This window comes from Homo sapiens, chromosome 4 (genome assembly GCF_000001405.40).
Source record: "Homo sapiens chromosome 4, GRCh38.p14 Primary Assembly".
NCBI classification, from domain to species: Eukaryota; Metazoa; Chordata; class Mammalia; order Primates; family Hominidae; genus Homo; species Homo sapiens.
This window is the reverse complement of record NC_000004.12, coordinates 5014354-5036726: the sequence shown is the minus strand read 5'-3', so window position 1 is coordinate 5036726 and position 22373 is coordinate 5014354. Positions and strand designations below refer to the sequence as shown.

The window sequence follows — 22373 nt, the reverse complement described above, 5'->3', positions numbered from 1 at the left end:
CACGGCACTCCAGCCTGGATGACAGAGCAAGACTCCATCTCGAAAAAAAAAAAAAAAAAAAAAAAAATCCACCCTTGCCTTGGTATTTAATATGTAATTATAAAACAGTGTTTCAAGTGGAATTTTGGACGCTTTTGCCTCAATATACCAGTGACACAAGCTTTAGTTCCTTCTAGCTACATGTGAACTGTTGCTGGCAGAACCTAATCTTAACTTCTCAGGCCTCCTTGATGACTCAGCAAGAAACGGCAGCATTTTCTACTCTGGCCTGCAATGTGGAGTTTATTTTCTGACTTCAGAGAGACACCTGGACCCAATTTGCATAATCAGAACCAAAAGGGGCCTGCTGTGTCGAGGATGATGATTTCCAGTGCAAATGTGATGACTGAAGCATTTTTTCCAGCCAGTATTCACGGAGCACCTACTACATGTCAGGGCTATGCTCAGTGCTGGGTACTCAGTGGGGGACAAAACAAGCATAGTCCCCGTGCACACTGCACCCAGCAGCTTTCAGATTGGTTTCACATCTATAGTATTATTCTCTCTTTACACAAACTTTGAGCTAGGCAGGAGTGGTATTTGTTAAAGGTAAGGAAGTTACACTTTTTGAAAGCATAGATAAAAAAGCATTAAAGTTTTTTTTTTAGCCAGGCACGATGGCTCACGCCTGTAATCCCAGCACTTTGGGAGGCCGAGGCCGGTGGATCACCTGAGGCCAGGAGTTCAAAACCAGCCTGAACAACATGGCGAAACTCTGTTTCTACTAAAAATACAAAAATTAGCCGGGTGTGGTGGCGGGCGCCTGTAATCCCAGCTACTCAAGAGGCTGAGGCAGGAGAATCACTTGAACCCGGGAGGCAGAGGTTGCAGTGAGCCAAGATCGCGCCACTGCACTCCAGCCTGGGTGACAGCGAGACTTCGTCCCTCAAAAAAAAAAAAAAAAAATTTACAGATCCTTTAATTTGCATTTCTGATGAAAATACATTCTAATTGTACAGACTTTGAATACAAATGTTTAAAAAGATCCTTCAGCTCGTTGAGTATGCATGCACATCTCTGCTGGGAAGTCCATCGCCCAGCCTCCAATGTCAGTCTCCACCGTCTCCTCATCTGGAAGCGACTCCATCCTAATCCCTGACTCTGACAAAGAGCAGAGTGCCTCACCTGCCAGGGCAGCACTTTGGGCAGCCTATGGTTAGGTGCAGGCACATGTGTGGGTGGGGGTCTTCACCCAAAATATTCAGGAGCCAGGCATAGTCGAGCATATCGTCCCCCTTTCATCCCTCCTGCCTCTCCTGCTGTGTGATATGCCAGCCCATTACCCACTCACTGAGCAATTACTATGTGTCGAGCTCTATAATTAAGCATGTTGCAAACATCTTCTTAATCATTTACTCAAGCTAGAAAGATTATTTTTCCATTATAATATGTGAGAATAAGGCTAAGAAGTTGATTCACAGATTCATGTCTTCAATGAATGTACATGCAGACTATGAAACAGGCACTGCCAGGTGCTGGGGATAAAATGAAAAGGAAAAGGTGTGTGGTGCTTAAAAACTTCATGATGCTATGAAGCAACGTGGTTCTGAAGTTCTGTTGCTGGTAAGTGGCTGGACCAAGCATAGCGAGCCAAGGCCTGCAGGGCTCCACATTCCTCTAAAATACCTCCCCATTGGAGCCAATCCATGGGGCACAGGTTTCCAGACATCAGGGAGGTACTTCTGGGACTCCAGAACAAAATCTACATCTAACCGTGAAAATGCATTGTTAGCACCATTCAAAGGAAGTCGTTGATGGCCAGTGGAGTGGCCGGGAGCAGATCCCAGCAGGGAAAAGCCCAGTAAATCAAGTGCTACTGACATTACCCCAGGACTTCTATGACCAGGCTGCCATGAACATTCATTTTGAACCAGTGTCTGACGATGGAGCCTGGAGAAGAATCCAGGATGCCCCTCCAGCCTACCTGATTGATTTGTTCAAGGGCTGAGACCAACATTCCCATCAGCTGAATGAGTGTGGGGATGTCTGAATATATCGCTCAAGCAGGAAAATGTGAAGATTACTCTGTAAAACATCTGACATGTACCCAACAGGCAAAGTTGTTTTTAAGTGTTAAGATCAATTTCTGCAGAGCATCAGGCACAAACTGTGGTACGATTCATCGTGAAAAGGAAAAAGCTGAGACAGATAGCCCTGGCAGGAGTGTGGTGCTTATATAAACCATGGAAAGAATGTGTTCTTTCTGCTATTCCTTCATCAAATATTTGTAGGGAGGGGAGCGCATAGAATATTTTTGGAGTGCTGCAGGCAGGGGAACTGTGTGTCCGGAGGCCCAGCGGCCAGCAGGAAAGTGACAGATGGAAGGCACAAGTTTTGTAAACATTTGACGCCCACGTATGAGAGAGGTTATCCCTACAGTGTGTTTGGTGAGAAAGGCAGGATTAGTTTCCATACATTTTCTGGTTCATTTTTCAAAAGACTGATTCTGTAGTTGCAAGAGACGCAGTGGCTGCTTAATAAATCTCTGCTGAACAAATGAATAAGGAACTTTACGTAAGAGTCCAAAGCTCCAGCTAGGTGAAATGGAGTTAGGAAAGCTGTGTAACGGCATGAAATCTATGTCCCCGCCTGGAAACGTATGTGGCATTTCTCAATCTGCTTTTTTCCCTTTCCTTCTTCTTTTGTAAAGTGTCCGTTACAGAATTTTATACCATGTTTAGGGCCTCACATCTCCTGCACAGCAGTGAATTTAGCTCAATTCACAAAACACCTTTTGAAAGTTTGTGAGAAGTACACAGCCGTTGTGAGTTTCCATGTATTTGCATGTCCCCAGCAAAAAAAGATGGTTTAGACACCTCCCCTACCACAAAGAATGTTGGCTCTGGGATCCAGCAGGCCAGCCCATCAGTTGGCAGCTGTGTGACTTCGCCACATCTTGTCTACCTCTTCCAGCCTCAGCGTTTCAAGTATAATCTGGAGGTTTTCTTCTCATCTCCCAGGGCGGTTGTAAACAGAGAGTGCACTGGAAGTAGCAGCTGCAGTGCTCAGGGGTGCTTCCGCCCTTCTTGCCATCCTTATTCTTTGCCACATGCAAGCCCCACTCTCAGAAACCATGGCCTCCTCGTGAAGGAGAAAAAGGAACCATTCAAATTCAAAACAAAACAAAAAATTGCTCACACTTAACACTGCTTGCCGTGCCAGCAACGAGAAGAGGCTGAGCCAGTTTCCGAATTGCTTTCTGTCCAAGGTCTAAGTTGTTCTCACCCACTTCCTGCCCTGGGGTGTGTGTTGGCTACGGGGCTTCCTGAAAGGACACAGGCCAAAACACTCAAAATGCTTCCCAAGGGAGGAAGCCTTACCTTCCCAGAAGCTGGAGTCCACAGGAACCTGGAGGGAGAAGCAGGGTTTCCACGGGCCATGGCCCAGCTGGGGAAATGCTTGTTTATGGTGACCGTGCTGCAGCTGTGGACGCCGTATCACCTACCGTGTTGTAAGTGGAAAGGCAATCAAGGGCATCATTCATTCCCTCATTCCGCCAGCGTTCTCTTCCTTCCATGAGGCCGCTGACCCTGGGGCCCTTATAGGCTAGTGTGTGGGGTGTTTGGTGGTTGGGGACTGTGTTTGTGGGGCTGGAAGTTACATAAATAATAATAGCAAATCTCCAGTACTTACCTTACACCAGCAGTAGCCTCGGGCCTTTGGAAATATTGACCATTTAATCCTCTCTCAGCCCCATGTGAGAGGTAAAAGTGTGGCCTCCATTTTATAGATGAAGAAATGAGATAAAGTCACACAGCTGGGAAGGGAAAGAGCCGGTCTGTGAGCTCAGAGAGTTCAACTGTCTGGTTTGAGTTTAAACCTTTAAATCAAACTGGGCCTCTAAAGGACAGAAAATAGAAGGGTGCTTGCCAGGGTCTGGAGGGAGCGAGGAGTGGGGAGTTAGTGGTTAATGGGGACAGAGTTTCAGCTTGGGAAGATGAGAAAGTTCTAGAGGTAGATGGTGGTGATGGTTGTACAACAATGTGAATGTATTTAACACCAAATTGTAAAAATTGTCAAAATGATAAATTTTATATTATGCATATTTTACTACAATAAAATTTTTTTTCATAGGTATGGGGGAAAATAATATAGCTCTAGAAACTGGTCATCTTTCATTATAACAGAAATCATGAAAGATGGAAAATGCAGTTTAGGGGTTTTTTTCTTTTCTTTCTCTTTCTTCTTTTTTTTTTTTTTTTTTTTTTTTTGAGATGGAGTCTTGCTTTGCCGTCCAGGCTGGAGTGCAATGGCACAATCTCGGCTAACTGCCTGCAACCTCCGCCTCCCGGGTTGAAGCAATTCTCCCACCTCAGCCTCCTGAGTAGCTGGGACTACAGTTGTGCACCACCACGCCCGGCTAATTTTTGTATTTTAGTAGAGACGGGGTTTCACCACGTTGTCCAGACTGCTCTCGAACTCCTGACCTCAAGTGATCCGCCCGTCTTGGCCTTCCAAAGTGCTGGGATTACAGGTGTGAGCCACTGTGCCCGGCCAGGTTTTTTTTTTTTTTTCTTTCTAGGAGCTCAGGAGTCATAACTGGCTACTAGTCTCAAGTTCTAATTTCAAAGGACCTATATATCGTTGTATATGCAACTGATACAAAAAACGTATTTGTTTAGCTAAGTCAATTCTGTTAATTTGTTTTAAAAAGTCTGCTTGGTGAATCATTCAGCATTCTATTAGCAAAACAAAGGGTAAAAAACATACAGTCTGTAATGCAAGGTGGTATCTGTTTCCCAGTTGGGGAATTTTCTAAGTGCTCTATAGACACAGATCTGGTGAGAGCGACCAGCCTTGAGTGAGCAGCCACTCTGTCTGAAACTGGGCCTCCACTTAAATCCTCACACCCACAACTGGGTGAGGGATCTGAGGAGGGGACTGAGGCCGTGGTGTCAAGCACCTTCTTGATATCACAGGCCTGCTAAGTGGGACCCCGACCTGCCCATGAACCCACATTTGGGCCTCTGTAACGTGCAGCTTCTTACATCCCTGTGCAAAGAGGACTTGGCATTCTCATGATTGGCCCCTTAAAAGCAATGAATCACCAAATTTATAATGGAGAACAGACTCCAAACATATTTATCTTTTTTTTTTTGGAGACAGAGTCTCCTAGACTGGAGTGCAGTGATGTGATCACTGCTCACTCCAGCCTCGACCTCTTGGAGTCAGGTGATCCTCCCGCCTCAGCCTCCCCAGTAGCTAGGACCACAGGCACATGCCACCATACCCAGCTAAGTTTTGTTTTTTTATACCAGAGATGATGTCTTACTATGTTGCCCAGACTGGCCTCAAACCCTCTAAATAAAGTCATCCCTCATTTTCCAAGGAAAGTAAAGTTCAAAGATAAGTGAGGCACTTGCCCAGAGTCCGACAGTGTGATGGTTAATTTCATGTGTCAGCTTGACTGGGTCACAGTCTGTACTCAGGTATTTCGTCAAGCATTATTCCAGATGTTTCTGTGAAGGGGTTTTTAACATGAGATGAACATTTAAATCAGTACATTTTAAATAAAGCAGATGACACTCCATAATGTGGGTGGGCCTCGTCCAATCAGTTGAAGGCTCAGAAAAAGTCTGAGACCCACCAAGAGCAAGAAAATTCAGCCTCTGGATAACCTTTGGACTAGAGCTTCAACATCACCTCTCCCCTGGGTCTCCAGCCTGTCAGTCTGCCTTGCAAAATTTGGATTTGCTGAGCTTCCACAATTATTTAAAATCAATTATTTAATTGACTCAATTACTTAAAATCAGCCTTCTCTCTCTCTCTCCATGTATATGTATAGATGTGTGTGTGTGTGCATGTGTCTATACATACACACATTCTTTTTCTTAGGAGAACCTAATACACACAGCTTGTTAGCATTCATGTAAATTACTTTTTTTCCTTCTTGCCTTCAGTGAATATGTATTGAGTCCCTCGTCTTAAGTGGCAGGAAGATGTGGTGGCTGGGAACACAGATTGAACCTAGCTGTCTAGGTTTGAACCTGGGCTCCACTATTAATTAATGGTATGACCTTGAGCAAGTTACTTAACTTCCCACCCTCTGGTTCCTCTTCTGTGAATTGAGGCTGTGATAATACCAACTCCTACCTTGTAAGGTTTTTATGAGGATTGCTTTGGTTAAAGTGCCTAGTGCCCCAAGCACCAGACACCCGGCTCACACTGTATCCACATTAGCTATTGTTCGTTTCCAGGCACCCAGACTATCATGCCAGGATATGACAGCATGGCAGAAAAGTTTCATCAACTTCACAATGTTACCAGGTGCTACTCACATCTTCTAAAAGTATTCCATTCAGTATCCATGCTAGGTCTGGGGGATCCGGAGATGACCAGCTCAGCTCCTGCTATCAGGAAATCCCAAATCTGATAAAGAAATTGACACATCCTTAGAAGGCAGCATGGGTAATATGGCACATGTGTTACTAGCTTGAAAAATCATCAACCTCAGTGAATAACCTCGAATAATAGTGCATTAGTCCATGTATTGGTTTTCTAATGAGTTGCTGTGTGTATTAGTCCATTTTCACACTGCTATAAAGAACTGCTCAAGACTGGGTAATTTATAAAGGAAAGAGGTTTCACTGACTCACAGTTCAGCATGGCTGGGAAGACCTCAGGAAACTTAACCATCATGGTGGAAGGTGAAGAGGAAGCAAGGCACTTTCTTCACAAGGACACAGAAAAGAGAGTGCTGAGCAAAGCGGGAAGAGCCCCTTATAAAACCATCAGATCTCATGAAAACTCATTCACTATCATGAGAATAGCATGGGGAAACCACTCCCATAATTCAATTACCTCCACCTGGTCTCTTCCTTGACACGTGGAGATTATGGGGATTACAATTCAAGATGAGATTTGGGCGGGAACACAAAATTTAACCATATTACTGTGTAACAAATGACCACCAACTTGAAGGCTTAAACAATACCATTTATCAGCTTGCAGCTCTGGAGATGGGCGCCTGGGTGGGAGTCTGCTGAGTTCCCTGCTCTGGCTCTCACAAGGCCAAAATCAAGGTGTCGGACAGCCTGGGTTCGTCTGCAGGAGCCGTCGGGGAGGACCGGCTTCCAGGCTGTATGGGTTGTTAACAGACCTTTCCTGGTTGTGTCAGATTGTTAACAGAGCCCCATTGCTTACAGCCCTAGGTCTCAGGTTCCCATTTCCTTGCTGGTGTCAATCAGGGGCCACTGTCTACTTCTGAGGGCCACCAGCATCCGTTCTCTTGTGTCTCCCTCCACTGTCAAGCCAGCAACACTGGGTTGAATGTTTTCCACACCTGAAATTTCTCTGACTCCCTCGTCTGCTCCCAGCCTGCAACACTTACTGTTTTAAAAGTGTTTGTGTGATTGCATTAGGATCACCTGGCTTATCTCTCTTTTGATCAAGTGACTTTTATTACAACTGCAAGATCCCTTTGCCATGTAACTAACCTAACCACAGGAGAGATCTCATCCTATTCATAGGCCTACCCCCAACTCAGTGGAGGGGGTTCTGCAAGGGTCATTGGGGATGATATGGTTAGGATCTGTGTCTCCACCCAAATCTCATGTTCAATTGTAATCCCTAGTGTTGGAGGTGGGGACTGGTGGAAGGTGATTGGATCATGGGGATGGTTTCTCCTGAATGGTTTAGCACCATCTCCCTTGATGTTGTCATCATGATAGTGAGTTCTCCTGAGACCCGGTTGTTTAAAAATGTGTGGCACCTCCTGCCTCTTGTTCCGGCCATGCGATGTGCTCCCCTTTGCCTTCCACCAGGTTGTAAGTTTCCTGAGGCTGAGCAGATGGCAGCATCATGCTTCCTGTATAGCTTACCGAACCATAAGCCAATTAAACCTCTTTTCTTTATAAATTACCTAGTCTCAGGTATTTCTTTATGGTAGTGTGAGAGTGAACTAATACAGGGGTCATTGTAGAATTCTGCCTGCCACAGTCAGGATGGGCTAGATTACACTGCTGTAACAAACAACTCCTAGTCCTTACCACAGATTGTCTGGGACATCACTCTGGGTCTTCTCCACCGCAGTTTGAGGCTGATAGAGCATCAACCACATGAATTGCTTTTCATAATCTCTGCCCAAAAGCAAAGCCCAAGCAAAACTTGGGTGGTCCCATGGCAGAGAGAAAGCAATAGCATCATAGAGCATGTAGAAAAGGAAGCACAGGCTCTTACAGCTGCTGCCTGGAAGTAAACCCATCACTTTCTCTTACGTCACTTTGTATAAAATAACCTATGTTGCTGTATGTAACTTCAAGGGGACAGGGAAACTCAATCCTGGCCTGGGACCAGGAGAGAAAGAACTGAACATATTTGATGACCAGCACTGAGGATTCACACAAATAGAAAATCATCCAAGAAAAGTAACTAAGTTAGCTGGGTGTGGTGGTGAGCCCCTGTAGTCCCAGCTACTCCTGTAGTCCCAGATCCTCCTGAGGCAAGAGGATGACTTAAGCCCATGAGGTTGAGGCTGCAGTGAGCTAAGATGGCTCCACTGCACTCCAGCCTCTGTGACAGAAGGAGGCCCTGTCTCTAAAAACAAAGTAACTGCTGTAAGAACTCCAGCTCCGCACCGAGCACTCTGCTGGATGCTGTATTGGTCAGACTCTTTCATTTGCCAGGGACAGAAAGAAACCTCACTGAAATCAGCTCAAGCTGAAGGAACTCTGCATTAGCTCTGCAGCCAGAAATGACCGCAGGGCAGCTGATGATGTCCAAGAAGGAGACGCAGGTCTCAGCCTCTGGATCTGGAAGCAGGGATGCAGCCCCTTCAGATCCTCTTCCTCCATCCATCTCCCAGCTCTGCTTGTGTACCTCCTGGTCTTGCACACTCCAGAGCAAAAGACTTAACTGCTGGCAACGACAGCATAGCCATGGTAGGGGCATGAGAGGGCAGCTCTCATCCTGTGTGCATCTTTCAACACCAGGTAGAGACACTGATTAGTCCCTCCTGAGCCATGGGCCCATCATCACTCCTGTAACAGGAGGGAGGAAGTAGACCAAGATGGGATTATGGAACAGGGTTGATAACCAGAAAGAACAAAAACCAAAACCACAGTCACTCCAGCTTTTCATGTTTATTTCTTCTTCACAAAAACTGTGCAATAAGTGGTATAAACCCCACATCAAAGGAGGATGAGTAATGGCCACATTTGCACAGCTGCATGGTAACATAAGTGAGATCTAAACTGAAGTCTGTATTACTCCAAAGCCTGTAGTTTTTCTCCTAGGACAAGCTGGGACCCTTCTTGAAGGACTTTCTCTGAGTCCTTTCTGTGTACCAGGCCTGGGGCAATGTTTGGGACACAGCTCCTCCTGCCTGCTGTTTCTCATTAAAGTTCAAATCCATGTTTTGGGGGCTTATGAAGGAATCTCTCTTCTAAAACATGAATCGCTTTTCATAATCTCTGCCCAAAAGCAAAGCCCAGCCTTGGTGTTTGTGTTCATTCCTTCACTCTGGGCCATGTGGGCCAACTTTCCACCTGGGTTTGCCAAGAGCAAAAGCAACAAGCTCAAAAACACATCACATAAACAGGGGAAGATGTGTTACTTTTAACCAAAGGAATACCAATATCAACAGGAGCACCAGAGGCAATGTCCGGCTAGGTATTCAGTCTACCCCAACCCCAACACCTCCTGGCTGTCAGCTTGATTAGTGGCTCCTGACCTCAAATGCAGGCAGAAGTGAGGGAACAAGAGGTAGCCTCTTTGCAAGCGTTGATGTGTTCAATGCTAGGCTCTTACCTTAGCACTCAGACTCTTCGTGTGGTCTAGTGCAATGTTTTCTAAAAAAGATGGAAGCTGCTGCTGGACTCTTCTAATCCTTGTCAAAGACAGCTATTGGCTGCAGGTTGGGCAACAGAGGACATTTGAGAATGGTGATGTCCATTTCAGCCTGGGTTTCCATCACAAGTGGGCACAGGATGGGAACACAGGGAGCAGGCAGGAGAGGTGATAGTCTGTGTTCCAGCCATGTCACAAGAGGCCACAGCCAACAGCAGGTTGCTGTTTCTTACAGTTCACTGGTGATATGGTTTGGCTCTCTGTCCCCACCCAAATCTCCCCTTGAATTGTAATAATCCCCATGTGTCGAGAGCATGAACAAGTGGAGATAACTGAATCATGGGAGTGGTTTCCCTTATACTGTTCTCATGATGGTGAGTGAGTTCTCACAAGATCTGATGGTTTTATAAGGGGATTCCCCCTTTGCTCGGTTCTTATTCTCTCTCCTGCCACCTTGCTAAGAGATGCCTTCTGCCGTGATTGTAAGTTTCCTGAGGCCTCCCCAGCCATGCAGAACTGGGAATCAATTAAACCTCTTTTCCTATAAATTACCCAGTCTTGGGATTGGACTAATACATGAGATTGGACTAATACAACTGGGAACATCCCATAACCCCTCAGGACTGAAAACCAAGAGTATTTCCCTGGTTACCTGTATCACTTATTGGAATATGCCTGTCTGAACAGCTTGCAGGAAAGGGTTAAATGCTCTTTCTCCTGAAATGATTTTTAAAAGTCTCAGATCCTGAAAATATTAGATCACAAGAAGAAAACAGAAGGTACTTAAGCAATGGGCAGCTGAGGTTTGGTATCTGCTGGAAGGATCTCCTCATCATGTGTATGTCTGCTGCTGGGATAAGGTCTGCACTGGGAGGGAGTCGTGGAGGCCTGGAAGGGAGGCGGCTTAAGAGAGGTGTCGGTCATGGGACATGGTGTCCTGGACCACCCTGGGCTGTGTTAGAGAAAGAGACAAGCGTACTTCACATTGTGGTAATGTCTCCGCCCCACCTCACTTACCCCATCCCAGGGTGTCTCACCTTCATGGCCCATTAGTGGGCTAGGCCAATATGTGTGATCACATTGTTCTTGTCATAGTTTAGAGGGGACTCCTCTGTTGGGCCAGTACCATAGTCTGAGTTTGAGTTTCCCCAAAAGCTGACTCTGAGACAAGGATTTGAGTGCAAGACGTTTCTTTGAGAGCAAGCCCAGAAAACACTTGTAGAGAAATGGGAACATGAGACAGAGAAGGACAGAAAGCCAATACATCCATGGATTACCATCAAGCAAGTTCTCACTGTGGACCCCTAGAGCTTGATCCTGCTGGGGGACTTTCGGAGACACTGTAGAATTCACCTCAGAGTTATCCCACCAACAGGGTAAAGGAGTAGGGATATTTACACACCAATGAGTTAGGAGCTCAGCTGAGCTGAGACAGAGCTGAGCTGCAGGTGTCTAAGCAGCCAAGTTAAAGCAAGAGCCAAAAATGAGAGTTAAGCCTTTGGTCACTCACTGCAATGGTCTAAGGAAGAGGCCAAACTAGAGGAAGCCCAGCTCCCCCGTTCCACCTCCCCCCTGGACGGGTGCTTCCTCACATCCTCACATCACTATGGGGGATCAAGTGGACCAGCATAGATGTGGAGGTGGGGGTCGTCTCACTGTTGAGGGAGCCCCAACAAAAGGTTCCTGCTGGTCTATGGACCACGGCGGAGGGGGAGGCAGGGAAACAGCCCCGAGTAGAAAAGTGCTGGGTCCTGAGTCAGAGAAGGGGGAAGGGTGTCAAGGATTCCCCCCTCCCATACTCGGAGGTCTCTGCAGAGGCGCCTGGGGAGGACCTGGCCCAAGTCCTCAGATAAAGAGACCCACGAATGAAGGTGCCAGGCAAATAGGTAAAGGGTTTGGCCAGCCTGGGGGCCTGAGCATTTTACAGCAACTCCCTTCAGAGATTGCATGCAAAGCTCTGGCTGTGTCCCAAGCCTGGGGTTGGGGGTGCAGCTCCCCCGATCCCCTTGGGGGCCTGTTGTGTAAAGCCGTTGTAACTGCCCATGGATGACATACAGATTTTTAACCAGAAGCCAGACTCTTCCCAACTTTCATGAATCATCGGTTGAGGGCTACTTCTGGGAGGCATTAAGAGTCCCCAATACTCTGGCTTGCTCTAACGTGGGCAGAACAGGCACCTATGGCCAGAGGAAGGCCTGTCGCAGAGGGTGGTGCTGGCAGGTGAAGCCTAGCCCACCTGCCCTTAAATGTCAGGGCTGAGGAGGCTTGGACAGGGCATAGGCAGGGTCCGCTTCCAGCACAAAGCTCAGGACTTTCTTCAGTGGTCACAAGGGAGACCCTACTTCTCAGGACAGGGCCTGGCTTTGGGATGGAGCTAATGGTATATGTGTCAGTTAGAGCTCAACCCAAGAAGCATGACCAGTGGCAGAGAGATATTAAGAGATTTAGTACAAGGAATTGGCTTGCATGATTGTGGACATTGGCCAAGTACAAAATTGTAGTAGGGTAGGCTTTCAGGAAGTGCAAACTGGAATCACCAGAACAGACAAAGCTACTCCACAGGCAGAACTCTTTCTTCCTCAGGGAAGCCTTGGCTGTGCTCTTAAGACCTTCCAACTGAGTAAATCAGGCCTACCCAGAGTATCTAAAATCATCTCCCTTACATAGAGCTTATTGCATAAGGACTCTAATTACATCTACAAATACCATCACAGTAACATCTGGATTAGTGTTAGAATAACTGAGGATGGTAGCCTAGTCAAGATGACACATGAAAACACTATCACAATATAGAACAGAGAAAGAGATAATTCCTTAGTGACTTCATTGAGTTCCTGGATCAAACCATTCCTGAGCTCCAGATTCCCTCTATATTTTCAAATTGCACTTTCCAGAAAACCCAGACTTTGGTGTCTCATGCTGAATTTTCTGTAACACACAGCCTACAGTCCTAACTGACATAGGAAAGGCTCAAAACTGATAGCCTCATTCTGACCAGATCTCCCAGGAAGGGTTGTGTTCCAGTCTGGGTCCCACATAGTGTAAGACTCATGGACACACAGCAGGGTTTGTGTCTGGGAGCCAGGGAGACTTTGAAACAAGGAGGAGCAAGATTGAATTTCTGCTTTAGAAATGGCCACCGGGAGGAGATAGGGCTCTAGACAGAGAGGCGTTAATCGTGATGTAATTGAAGGGTCTTGAGGCCACTTCTCATTAAAAGGGTTCACGAAGTGGGGATGGTAGCTCCAAAAGAGAGTTGACTCTGTTTTGAGGGGCAGGGAGGAGTGGAGGTAGAGACATTGAAGAATGAGAATGGTCTTAACATCGCCACACCTCCGTTCTGCATAAGAAGGTACAGGATTTGAAGGCCTGCACCAGGGTGTCATCGCATCTCATCTCCACCCTGGGAAGAATTTGGAGCTGCCCAGAGACTGGAAGGAAGTTGTAAGAGGCAAAGAGCTCCCTGTCCAGGGACGTATGCAAGCAGACTCTGGACAAGCACTTGACAGGGAGACTGTAAAGGAAGGATAAGCAGCAGGCAGGTAGATCTGGATAATTTCTAGGTTCCCACATTAATTTCTGTTATTCTACCAAACCCCAGAGAGACAGTATGCTTGTTTCCTGTGGCTGCTGTAACAAATCACCACAAACCGAGGGACTCCAAGCATCACGAATTTATGATCTTACAATTCCGGGCTCAGAAGGGGTCTAACTGGGCCCGTTTTGGAGGCCCTAGGCAGGAATCTTTCTTTGCATTCTAGAGGCCTCCTGAATTCCTTGGCTTGTGGCCTCTTCTCCCATCTTCAAAGCCAGCAGCACAATATCTTACAATCTCCCTCACTCTCTGTCTTTCACAGAGACACACACAAACACACACATATACACACACACACACACACATGCCTTCATACCTACCCCGCTTCCCCACTGCATTCGTCACCTCTCAGCTCTCACCTGATAGGGAGCAGCTGCCAGTGATGGGTTAGGGGCTCCAGAAACACTAGGATTTCTGCCATCACACCACTCACCCAGAGTGTCAGCTGCCCTCATCAATCTCCTCCGAGAGGATAGCAACTCTGTCATTCACTGTCTTTTCACCCATCTCAGTGCCTGGCACACAACAGACTCTCGATAAATAGATAGACATGCATCTGGCAAATGAAGAACCCATCCAAAGGCAATGGCCGATATCTACCTCAGAGATGTTCACCTGCTCGTTAACTCTGACTCTTCAGCTCTCCTGCATGATGGGGTCCGTGCCCGATGTAAGACATTAAGAAAACCAGAAGAGACCTTTTGGCGGAGACAAGGGCTTACCTGATTTGTGGGCAAATTCCTGCCTGGATTTTTAATATTCGGAGCAGCCAACTGCTGAAGGAGCCTCAGAAGGGGGCAGAGAAAGAGCTGGTGGGAGGATGCAGGTGATTCGTGGTGAAGGAGACATTTGAGAACAGAACACACGTGCGGGGGTCCACCAGCCTGTATCCAGTGCGGCGTCTCATAGGGAGCCCCTGGTGGGGAGCCACGTCAGGCTGTCCTGCGTAGGTTTCTTAGTGGGCTTGTGCCTTAATCTCTGAGTAACACGAGTAGTCACCAAGTCCATTCAGCCACACCTTACTGGTCATCCGCTCTACCTGGCTGCGTGCTGGGTGCCGAGAAACAGATGAGAAAGACTGTCTTTCTCTCCTAGAGAAGGGCATGGTCATTAAAGGAGACAGATGCCAGGAGGCAAGTCAATGTATCATGCATAGGATGCGGAGGAACCCTGGAGAGGGCCAGAAAGCAGATAGAATTCCCGGATGCACACTGGCATGCATTGGGCTCGGCAGGCAAGCTTGTGTGTGTTGGGCTCGGCACAGGCTGTTTCTCCTTGTCTCCACCTGCCCTGGGAATCAGCACGAGGCACCCTCTCCTCTGGTGTTCTTCCCATTCATCCCACTCCTGGCTTGGTAGAGTGAGAGGTGGCGATTCTCTTGCACCTGGCCCAGTGCACAACAGCCTCATTCCTTGTCTCCCCACTGACTGTGACTCCTCAGGGGCCCAGCATCCACCATATCTCAGTTGGTACCAGTGACAGCTTATGGCTACAGCCACTTACTCATTCATTCTCATGCTCAATGGGAAGGCCTATAAGCCTCTTTGCAGCTCTGAGCTCAGCTGATTTACCCAAGAAGTCCCATGAATAACCACACACGGTATTGCGGGTGGAACAAGGTCAAGTCTCCCAGCAGTACATTTATCTCACAAATGACTCCTGTTTTCCAGCACAGCAATGTCTCCTTGATCTAATGGTGCAGGACTTGTTTGGTCCATGGGCTTGTTTTTCTTCCCTGCTCTGAATTTAAGCCCATTCCTTGAGCACATCCAGAAGCCCTAGAGCATTTTAAAGCAGACCTAGAGTCCCCAGCTGGGGCCAGCTATTCTGCCAGGGAGGCCCATGCCCCAGGCACTATCATGGAGGGAGTGTGGAGACTCCTTCACCCAGAAGAAAACACATCTGTGCCTCCACTTGCCACCTCCAAGCACACACAGTTCTGCCCGAAGGCCGCGGTCCCTATGTCATCTTGCTAAAGGTGTTTAGAGAACACATTCTCACCTACAAAACAGGAAGGCACAGCTTACAGTCCCTGCCCAGGGCTTTTACCACCAGAAACTAGATAAATAAAACACTGGGGCTGGAAGGAACCTCAGACATCGCCCAGCGTGATGCTATCCTGTTTACAGACAGGGAATGGAGGCCAGGTCGAGAAGGGATTTCTCCTGGCAAATACAGTGGGGACAAGCTGGAGCCGGGCTTCATCCCTGTGGTTGATCCTCAGTCCAGCCCTGTGTCCAGGATGCCATGCTCTGGTTCACCCATCCCTGTGGGCTGCATCTTTGGTTGTTTTGTTCTGGGAATGTGGAGCTTGCCCAGGATGCTCCCCTTTCCTCCTTTGTTGGAGGAAGCTTTGGAGGCAGGAAAGTCCAGACATAGCTCCAGGGCTCCACTGCTCTTCCCAGCTTCACATCCCCCGAGGCCCTCAGTTTCCTCGCCTGGGAATTGGGAATAACCCCATTCACTTCATTGGCTGGCTGTGAGGGTCATAGCGTTCCCAATGGCAGCTGGCCTGGTGGCTGCTGGTATGTAAGTCATGTTCAGTGTTAAGGAAGAATCTTCTCCCTTTTGACAGTTCCTTCTTGCTTGTTGCCTGATCTTGGGCAGCCTGAGGACCCCAACTCATCTCTGCCTGCAAGAGTCCTGCTCCTCACCCATCCTGCCCTGTGGGATGGAAGAATGGCAGGAGGACAGGGCCTGAAGTCTCATCCCAACCCATGTGCCTCCAGCTTTGTGACCTCCAGCAAGTTGCTGGAACTCTTGAGCCTCAGTTTTCCCACCTGGAAAATGGGACTCTTTTCTGTGGCACCTACCTCACAGAGACAATTGCTGGATTTAACAGAGACAGTGCTATTAGCTCCGATCACTTGGAAACACACAATGGGCCTGGCATGAGGCTTGCTCAGTCATGCTATATCCTGTTGATTCCTCACTATGGCCTTTTGAGTGAGCCACTCTCACCAGCCTCATCTCACAGATAAGGAGATGGAGGAAACACTGAAGAAACTTGCCCAAGGTCAAAGCCAGAAGGCGGTGACCCTGCTTTGCACCCACGGCGTCTAAGTGGAGAGCCTAGACCTTTACCTGCCACTGTCTTGGGAAGTTAGCCCTGAGGGAGATGCACTTCTTGAAAACTAACCCTTCCTGAGGGTCTGCTCTCCCTCGGGGCCTGTGCTGGGAGCTTGAGGTAGAAGAGGGTGGGGGTACTCACACTCCCCACACATACGGCCGCTCAGTGAGCCCATCCTCCGGACCGAGAGACACACACGGCTTCTGAGAGGCTGGGGGCCCTGGCCCAAGGCTCACCTACCTGGTTAGCGATTGATGGACGAGGACACCGGTGGCCTGACCGCAGCTCTGCATCCCTGCTCCACTGCGGGCTGCCTGGAGGGAGGGATGCTCAGTCATCCCCTGCTAGTCCCTTTCCCTCCTGGCACTATATCCATTTTGACAAACCGTGCCATCCAAACCCAGGCCTGACTGCCCACTCCTCTCCTCTGACCCTCCCCTCCTTCCATCTCTGTCCTCCTCTTATCCCCCACCCCTCTCCATCTGCTGTTCCTGCCTTTTCAGGAAAAGTCCCTGTGCAGAAAGAAATTTCTTGCTGAAAGTGTGGGGGAGGCAAAGCCACCCTCTGTCACCCCCTCCTCCAGGCAGCCCCTCCTCTTAACCTGGGGCTTTCGTGTCTGAGAGGATTCCTGTCCCGACCCTGCCCGGTGGGCGTGCTGGCTTCCTCTCTGCCACCCTGGATGGACCGCAGCCTGCGCTGGCCCCACAGGAAGTGGAGGCGTGGAGCCGCCCTGGACCACCCCCAGCCTGCATAAAGGGGCGGTCGGCGAGGCTGCACCAGCGCCTGGCACCATGAGGACGCCTGGGCCTCTGCCCGTGCTGCTGCTGCTCCTGGCGGGAGCCCCCGCCGCGCGGCCCACTCCCCCGACCTGCTACTCCCGCATGCGGGCCCTGAGCCAGGAGATCACCCGCGACTTCAACCTCCTGCAGGTCTCGGAGCCCTCGGTGAGTCCCCCGCCCGCTCAGGACAGGGGTGCATGGCAGACCCAGTTCTTAAACCCTTGCCTTTACACGAAAAAAAAAAGAGAGAGAGAGAGAAAAGGATATTTTTCTTTTCTAGTAAATGTAAATCTCAGGAGTATTTGTGTTTTATTCATCTCCTTTTAAATATGATACCAATGGTTTGCTTTCTTCAAAACACAAGAAAAAGTAAAGACAACACAATTTTTGTGACTTACTAGCAAATATCAAAGGATCTGTTGTAAAATGTAAAAAAAAAAAAAAAAAAAAAAAAGAAAAAAGAAAAAAAAAGGAGTGGGAGGATGGGGAGAAAAACAGCTCCCCATCAGAGTTAAGGAGGACGGAGGAATGAAGCTTGTGTATTGCTTTTGTTAGCCTAGTGAGGAGTGTGCCCTAAGAGGTGGCTCACAGAACTGGCCTCCGCCCCTCATCTGCTGAGGGACCCGGGCAAATTTCTCAGCCTCTGCCTTTCAGTTTTCTTGTCTGTAAAATGGGATGACAGTAGCACCCCTCCCTTTAGAGTGGCTTTGACGATCAAAGGCAGGTGTGAACACAGGCAGGGCTCACAGAGCCAAGCCTACAGGAACAAGTACTCAACAGATGCCAGCTGATGTGAGCACGATCTTCAGAGGCAGATCTGGGGACTCAGAGAGGGGAAGACCCGGGAGGGCTTTTGGGGACTAGAACCCAGGCCTCTGCCTGCTTCTCCGTCGAAACAAAATGCATTAAACTTCATTAAAAGCTTTTGTAAAGTTTCAAAGTGTCTTTTAATCACTTGCAAATGCTTCAAACAAAACATAATGTTTCTCAGATGTTGGGGTTTACAAAAGCCTAGCTAACACCTTCTTGGTATTTTCTTTTTAAAAGTTAAATAACATGTATTTTTTCCCTAATTATAAAAGTATTGTACTTTGTAGAACAGTTGGAAAATAAAGTACAAAGAAGAAAAAAAATCTTGCTTGTAATTCTACCACCTAGAGGTAGCTGCTGCCGTAGCATTGTGGAGGATCATATTTCAGCTTTCTGTCTACATATAGGTATTCAAATACGTGTGTGTTGTGTGTGTGTGTGTGTGTAAACAAAATTTGGGTCAAACAGCACAAGCAGTTTTGCAACTTACTTTTTAATGACACTATCAAATAAGTTCATTTTTGTTTTAACATTTTGTTGTACAGTTTCACCACAATTTACCCACAAGTTTCTTGTTATCGAATATAGACAGCAATCATCTTTTAAAGGAATCTGATTTTAAAAGGTTTAAAAAGTTCAGAGGCTCTGAACCACAGAGCGGGAAGAAAGTGGAAAGATTATGCATTCTAAATCTCTAATTTCACAACTGAGGACTGAAGGAAGGCACTTGCCCATGGTCACACGGGGATTACTGAGAGGGCAGAGCACGAGGGCTTTTGCCCTTCAGCCCTGCGCAAAAACGGAAGCCCAATATAGAAATATAAAAGTATGCAAATTTATGCACTTCGATATTACTATATTATACACTATATACAACTACATATTAGCTATAGAATGCCTATAGAACAATAGGTATTATTACATATATCGTACTTATGTAAGTATATATAATGTCTATAATTACATGCAGTTATACAACTGTTATATAGCTAATATACTTATATAAGTTATTATATAAGTATATTATTATATAAGTTACTATATAACTAACTTATACAACTGTTATATAACTAAATAGTTATAGAACTGTTTTATAGATGTACATATATACTCTGTATGTATACTTGTATTACTGTATTATATATCACTATTTCTATATTACAGTTATAGGACTGCTTTTATGTATATACGTGTATGTATATTTCTGAATGGGTATGCATATAAAACAGCTCCCTGGTTCATAGCAAATGATATAAAAGTTGTATTCTAAAAGTCTAATTCCGGAAGCGCAGTCGCCCATTTCTGGAGGAGTGTGACGTATGACACAAGAAAGTACTGTGCATGTCGTAGCATCAGGGAGGGCCCCAGGGATCTGGGCTGGTCTGGCTGTTGAGAGGGCCACTAGGGAGACTTTTGTGACCAGGTATGCCCCTGTGGGCATCCCAGAACCCCTTATCCCTTTCCACAGGAGCCATGTGTGAGATACCTGCCCAGGCTGTACCTGGACATACACGTAAGAGGGTTCTCCCTGGGGGAGGGAGGTCTTGGGCTGAGGGACTCAGGTCTGAACCTCTGCTGCTGGCTGTGTGGCACAGAGTCAGGGAGAGATCTTATGCAGCTCAGTCCCTGTTCCTCTTGCTACTGACTTCTCCCACAAGCCCCCTCCCCATTGCCCACTCCCAGAATTACTGTGTGCTGGACAAGCTGCGGGACTTTGTGGCCTCGCCCCCGTGTTGGAAAGTGGCCCAGGTAGATTCCTTGAAGGACAAAGCACGGAAGCTGTACACCATCATGAACTCGTTCTGCAGGAGAGTAAGTGGATGCCATTGAAAGTCTATTTTCTACTTGCTATCAGCCAAGACTTTCTGAGCTTTTCAAAGAGGAGAGTTGGGAGGAGATGGTGACAAGGAAGAGGAGCAGAGATGTTTCGCAGATGCTTTCAGTTCACAAAGCCCTTTCTCAACCATGGTTGCCTTGTTGGGTGATGGGGTTCAGGACAAGGCCCTTTGTCTCCATGAGCTGCGCATTGATGCAGGGGCTACACCCCAGGACCACACCCCAGCCACATAGATAGACTCTGCCAGGAGCCAAGTGAGGCAGGGTAGAGGAGACTCTGCAGGAGGAGGTTCAGGTGTGCTCTGATAAGAGGATTCCGGTAGGAGAGGGTAAAAGGACAGAAAATCAGCAATAGTTAAAATGTGGAAAGTAGAGGCATGTGATTGCAGGGCACAGACTTCAGCATCAGAGAGCCCTGAGCTTGGGTCTGTATCTCCCTGCTTCCCAAGTGGGAGTGCCTGTCTTAGTCTGTTTCTGCTGCTATAACATAACACCACAGACTGGGTCAGTTATTTTTTAAAAAAAGATGTTTGTTTAGCTTATGGAGGAGGCTGGGGGGTAGTCTAAGAGCATGGTGCTGGCATCTGGTGAGGGCCTTCTTGCTGCATCATACCATGGCAGAGGTCATCACTCAGCAAGAGGGTAAGAGCCAGAGAGAGTTCACTTTTTTAACAAAGCCACCCCTGCAATAAGCAACCCTCTCCCAAGGTAGTGACGTTAATCCATTCATAAGGGCAGAGCCCTCATTAATCCATTCATTAAGTCAAAGCCTACATTAATTCACCTACAAAGGCAGAGGGATTAAGTTTCCAACACATAAACTTTTGGGACCACATTCAAATCACAGCAGTGTCCCTTCACTCCTCTGAGGCACAGTTTCCTCAGTCCTGAACTGAGGACATGGTAGTGCCCATCTCATGAGGTGGATAATAATAATTACACCCTTACCTTGTGTGGGCACTGCAGTAACTCCCTTGATCCTAAGAAGCCTAGTAGAGTGACTAAATATGGAATTGCTAGCACCATGCCTAGCCCAGAGTAAGCTCCTCTGGAAACTGCAGTAATTAGCTATTAAGTTATAATTTCTTGATCCTGTATGAAAGATGTGTTATGAATTTTCCCCCACACCCAGTTTCCTCCTCCTCCCTGCTCCCTTTGGTTTGTGGGGGAAGATAGGAAGCTGATACAATTATGATAACAGTGTGATGAGAAGTGGTATTGATTGAAGTGAGGTCATTCCAATGCCTGACCCAGGGTGCTGCTCAGCAACTAAGGTTCATTCATTTATTCCCTCCCTCACCCATAGTCATCTATCCATCTAGTCAATCAATGTATGTGTGAATTCCATAAAACATGAAATTTTATTGGAATGTGAAGTGAAAATTATGGAAATGAAATTTTATTGGAATGTGAAGCAAGAAGTGACTAGCCCTTTTTGGGGAGAGTAAGGCATGGGAAGTTTTTACAGAAAGAGGAACAACTGAATGGCCTTTGAGGATAACCAAGAGCCCTACAGTTGCATATGGACTCCGTGACCACCTTCAGTAACTTTCCTGCTCATTGCACATCTTTTTCAGGATTTGGTATTCCTGTTGGATGACTGCAATGCCTTGGAATACCCAATCCCAGTGACTACGGTCCTGCCAGATCGTCAGCGCTAAGGGAACTGAGACCAGAGAAAGAACCCAAGAGAACTACAGTTATGTCAGCTACCCAGACTTAATGGGCCAGAGCCATGACCCTCACAGGTCTTGTGTTAGTTGTATCTGAAACTGTTATGTATCTCTCTACCTTCTGGAAAACAGGGCTGGTATTCCTACCCAGGAACCTCCTTTGAGCATAGAGTTAGCAACCATGCTTCTCATTCCCTTGACTCATGTCTTGCCAGGATGGTTAGATACACAGCATGTTGATTTGGTCACTAAAAAGAAGAAAAGGACTAACAAGCTTCACTTTTATGAACAACTATTTTGAGAACTTGCACAATAGTATGTTTTTATTACTGGTTTAATGGAGTAATGGTACTTTTATTCTTTCTTGATAGAAACCTGCTTACATTTAACCAAGCTTCTATTATGCCTTTTTCTAACACAGACTTTCTTCACTGTCTTTCATTTAAAAAGAAATTAATGCTCTTAAGATATATATTTTACGTAGTGCTGACAGGACCCACTCTTTCATTGAAAGGTGATGAAAATCAAATAAAGAATCTCTTCACATGAGAAACACGTGTCCTGTTATATCTGTCCAAGGTGGATGTCAGGGTTGTGTTTTTTTCACACTTCTCTTGAAAACTCCTGCTCTAAGCATGATGCAACTTTCTCCTTCTTTCAGTCAAGCTCAAGTGTCTCTGGTTCTGCTTCATCCACCTGCATGAATGTCTGCTCTTTAAGTGTTGGGGATTGCTCTGATTTCTGTTGAGGACAGATGTTTCCTTTGGATATATACATTGGGAGCA

The 22373-nt window shown here is 47.0% G+C and overlaps 2 protein-coding genes across 4 annotated transcripts in view, besides 1 other annotated feature; one reads left to right on the top strand and one right to left on the bottom strand.

Moving 5' to 3' along the window:
* STK32B (serine/threonine kinase 32B) overlaps window positions 1-17341 on the bottom strand; it is a 481604-nt gene extending 464263 nt beyond the window's left edge. The window contains exons 1-3 of one of the 2 annotated variants that reach the window (XM_047415924.1): window positions 17092-17341; window positions 16731-16804; window positions 6318-6408 (exon numbers count right to left, since the gene is read on the bottom strand). In XM_047415924.1, the coding sequence (XP_047271880.1) occupies window positions 6318-6408; window positions 16731-16804; window positions 17092-17242 (316 nt within the window). In that variant the 5' untranslated portion in view covers window positions 17243-17341. Of the gene's footprint in view, window positions 1-6317; window positions 6409-14142; window positions 16215-16730; window positions 16805-17091 lie in introns of those variants that run through there. The other variant, XM_047415925.1, reaches the window with a different exon arrangement.
* Window positions 3063-3112: an enhancer, noted in NCBI's record as "active region_21236". NCBI's record gives its function as "activates an Ori minimal core promoter by ATAC-STARR-seq in GM12878 lymphoblastoid cells {active_cell/tissue: GM12878}" and the evidence as "EXISTENCE:reporter gene assay evidence [ECO:0000049][PMID:35858748]".
* Window positions 17269-22141, top strand: CYTL1 (cytokine like 1). 2 transcript variants are annotated; one of them, XM_017008299.2, is made up of 5 exons: window positions 17269-17434; window positions 18372-18486; window positions 19548-19592; window positions 19763-19891; window positions 21493-22141. In XM_017008299.2, the coding sequence occupies exons 1-5, from the start codon at window positions 17282-17284 to the stop codon at window positions 21513-21515; spliced, it is 465 nt and encodes a 154-aa protein (XP_016863788.1). In that variant the 5' UTR covers window positions 17269-17281; the 3' UTR covers window positions 21516-22141. The 2 variants fall into 2 exon arrangements, with proteins under 2 accessions (XP_016863788.1, NP_061129.1); NM_018659.3 differs by lacking the exon at window positions 18372-18486.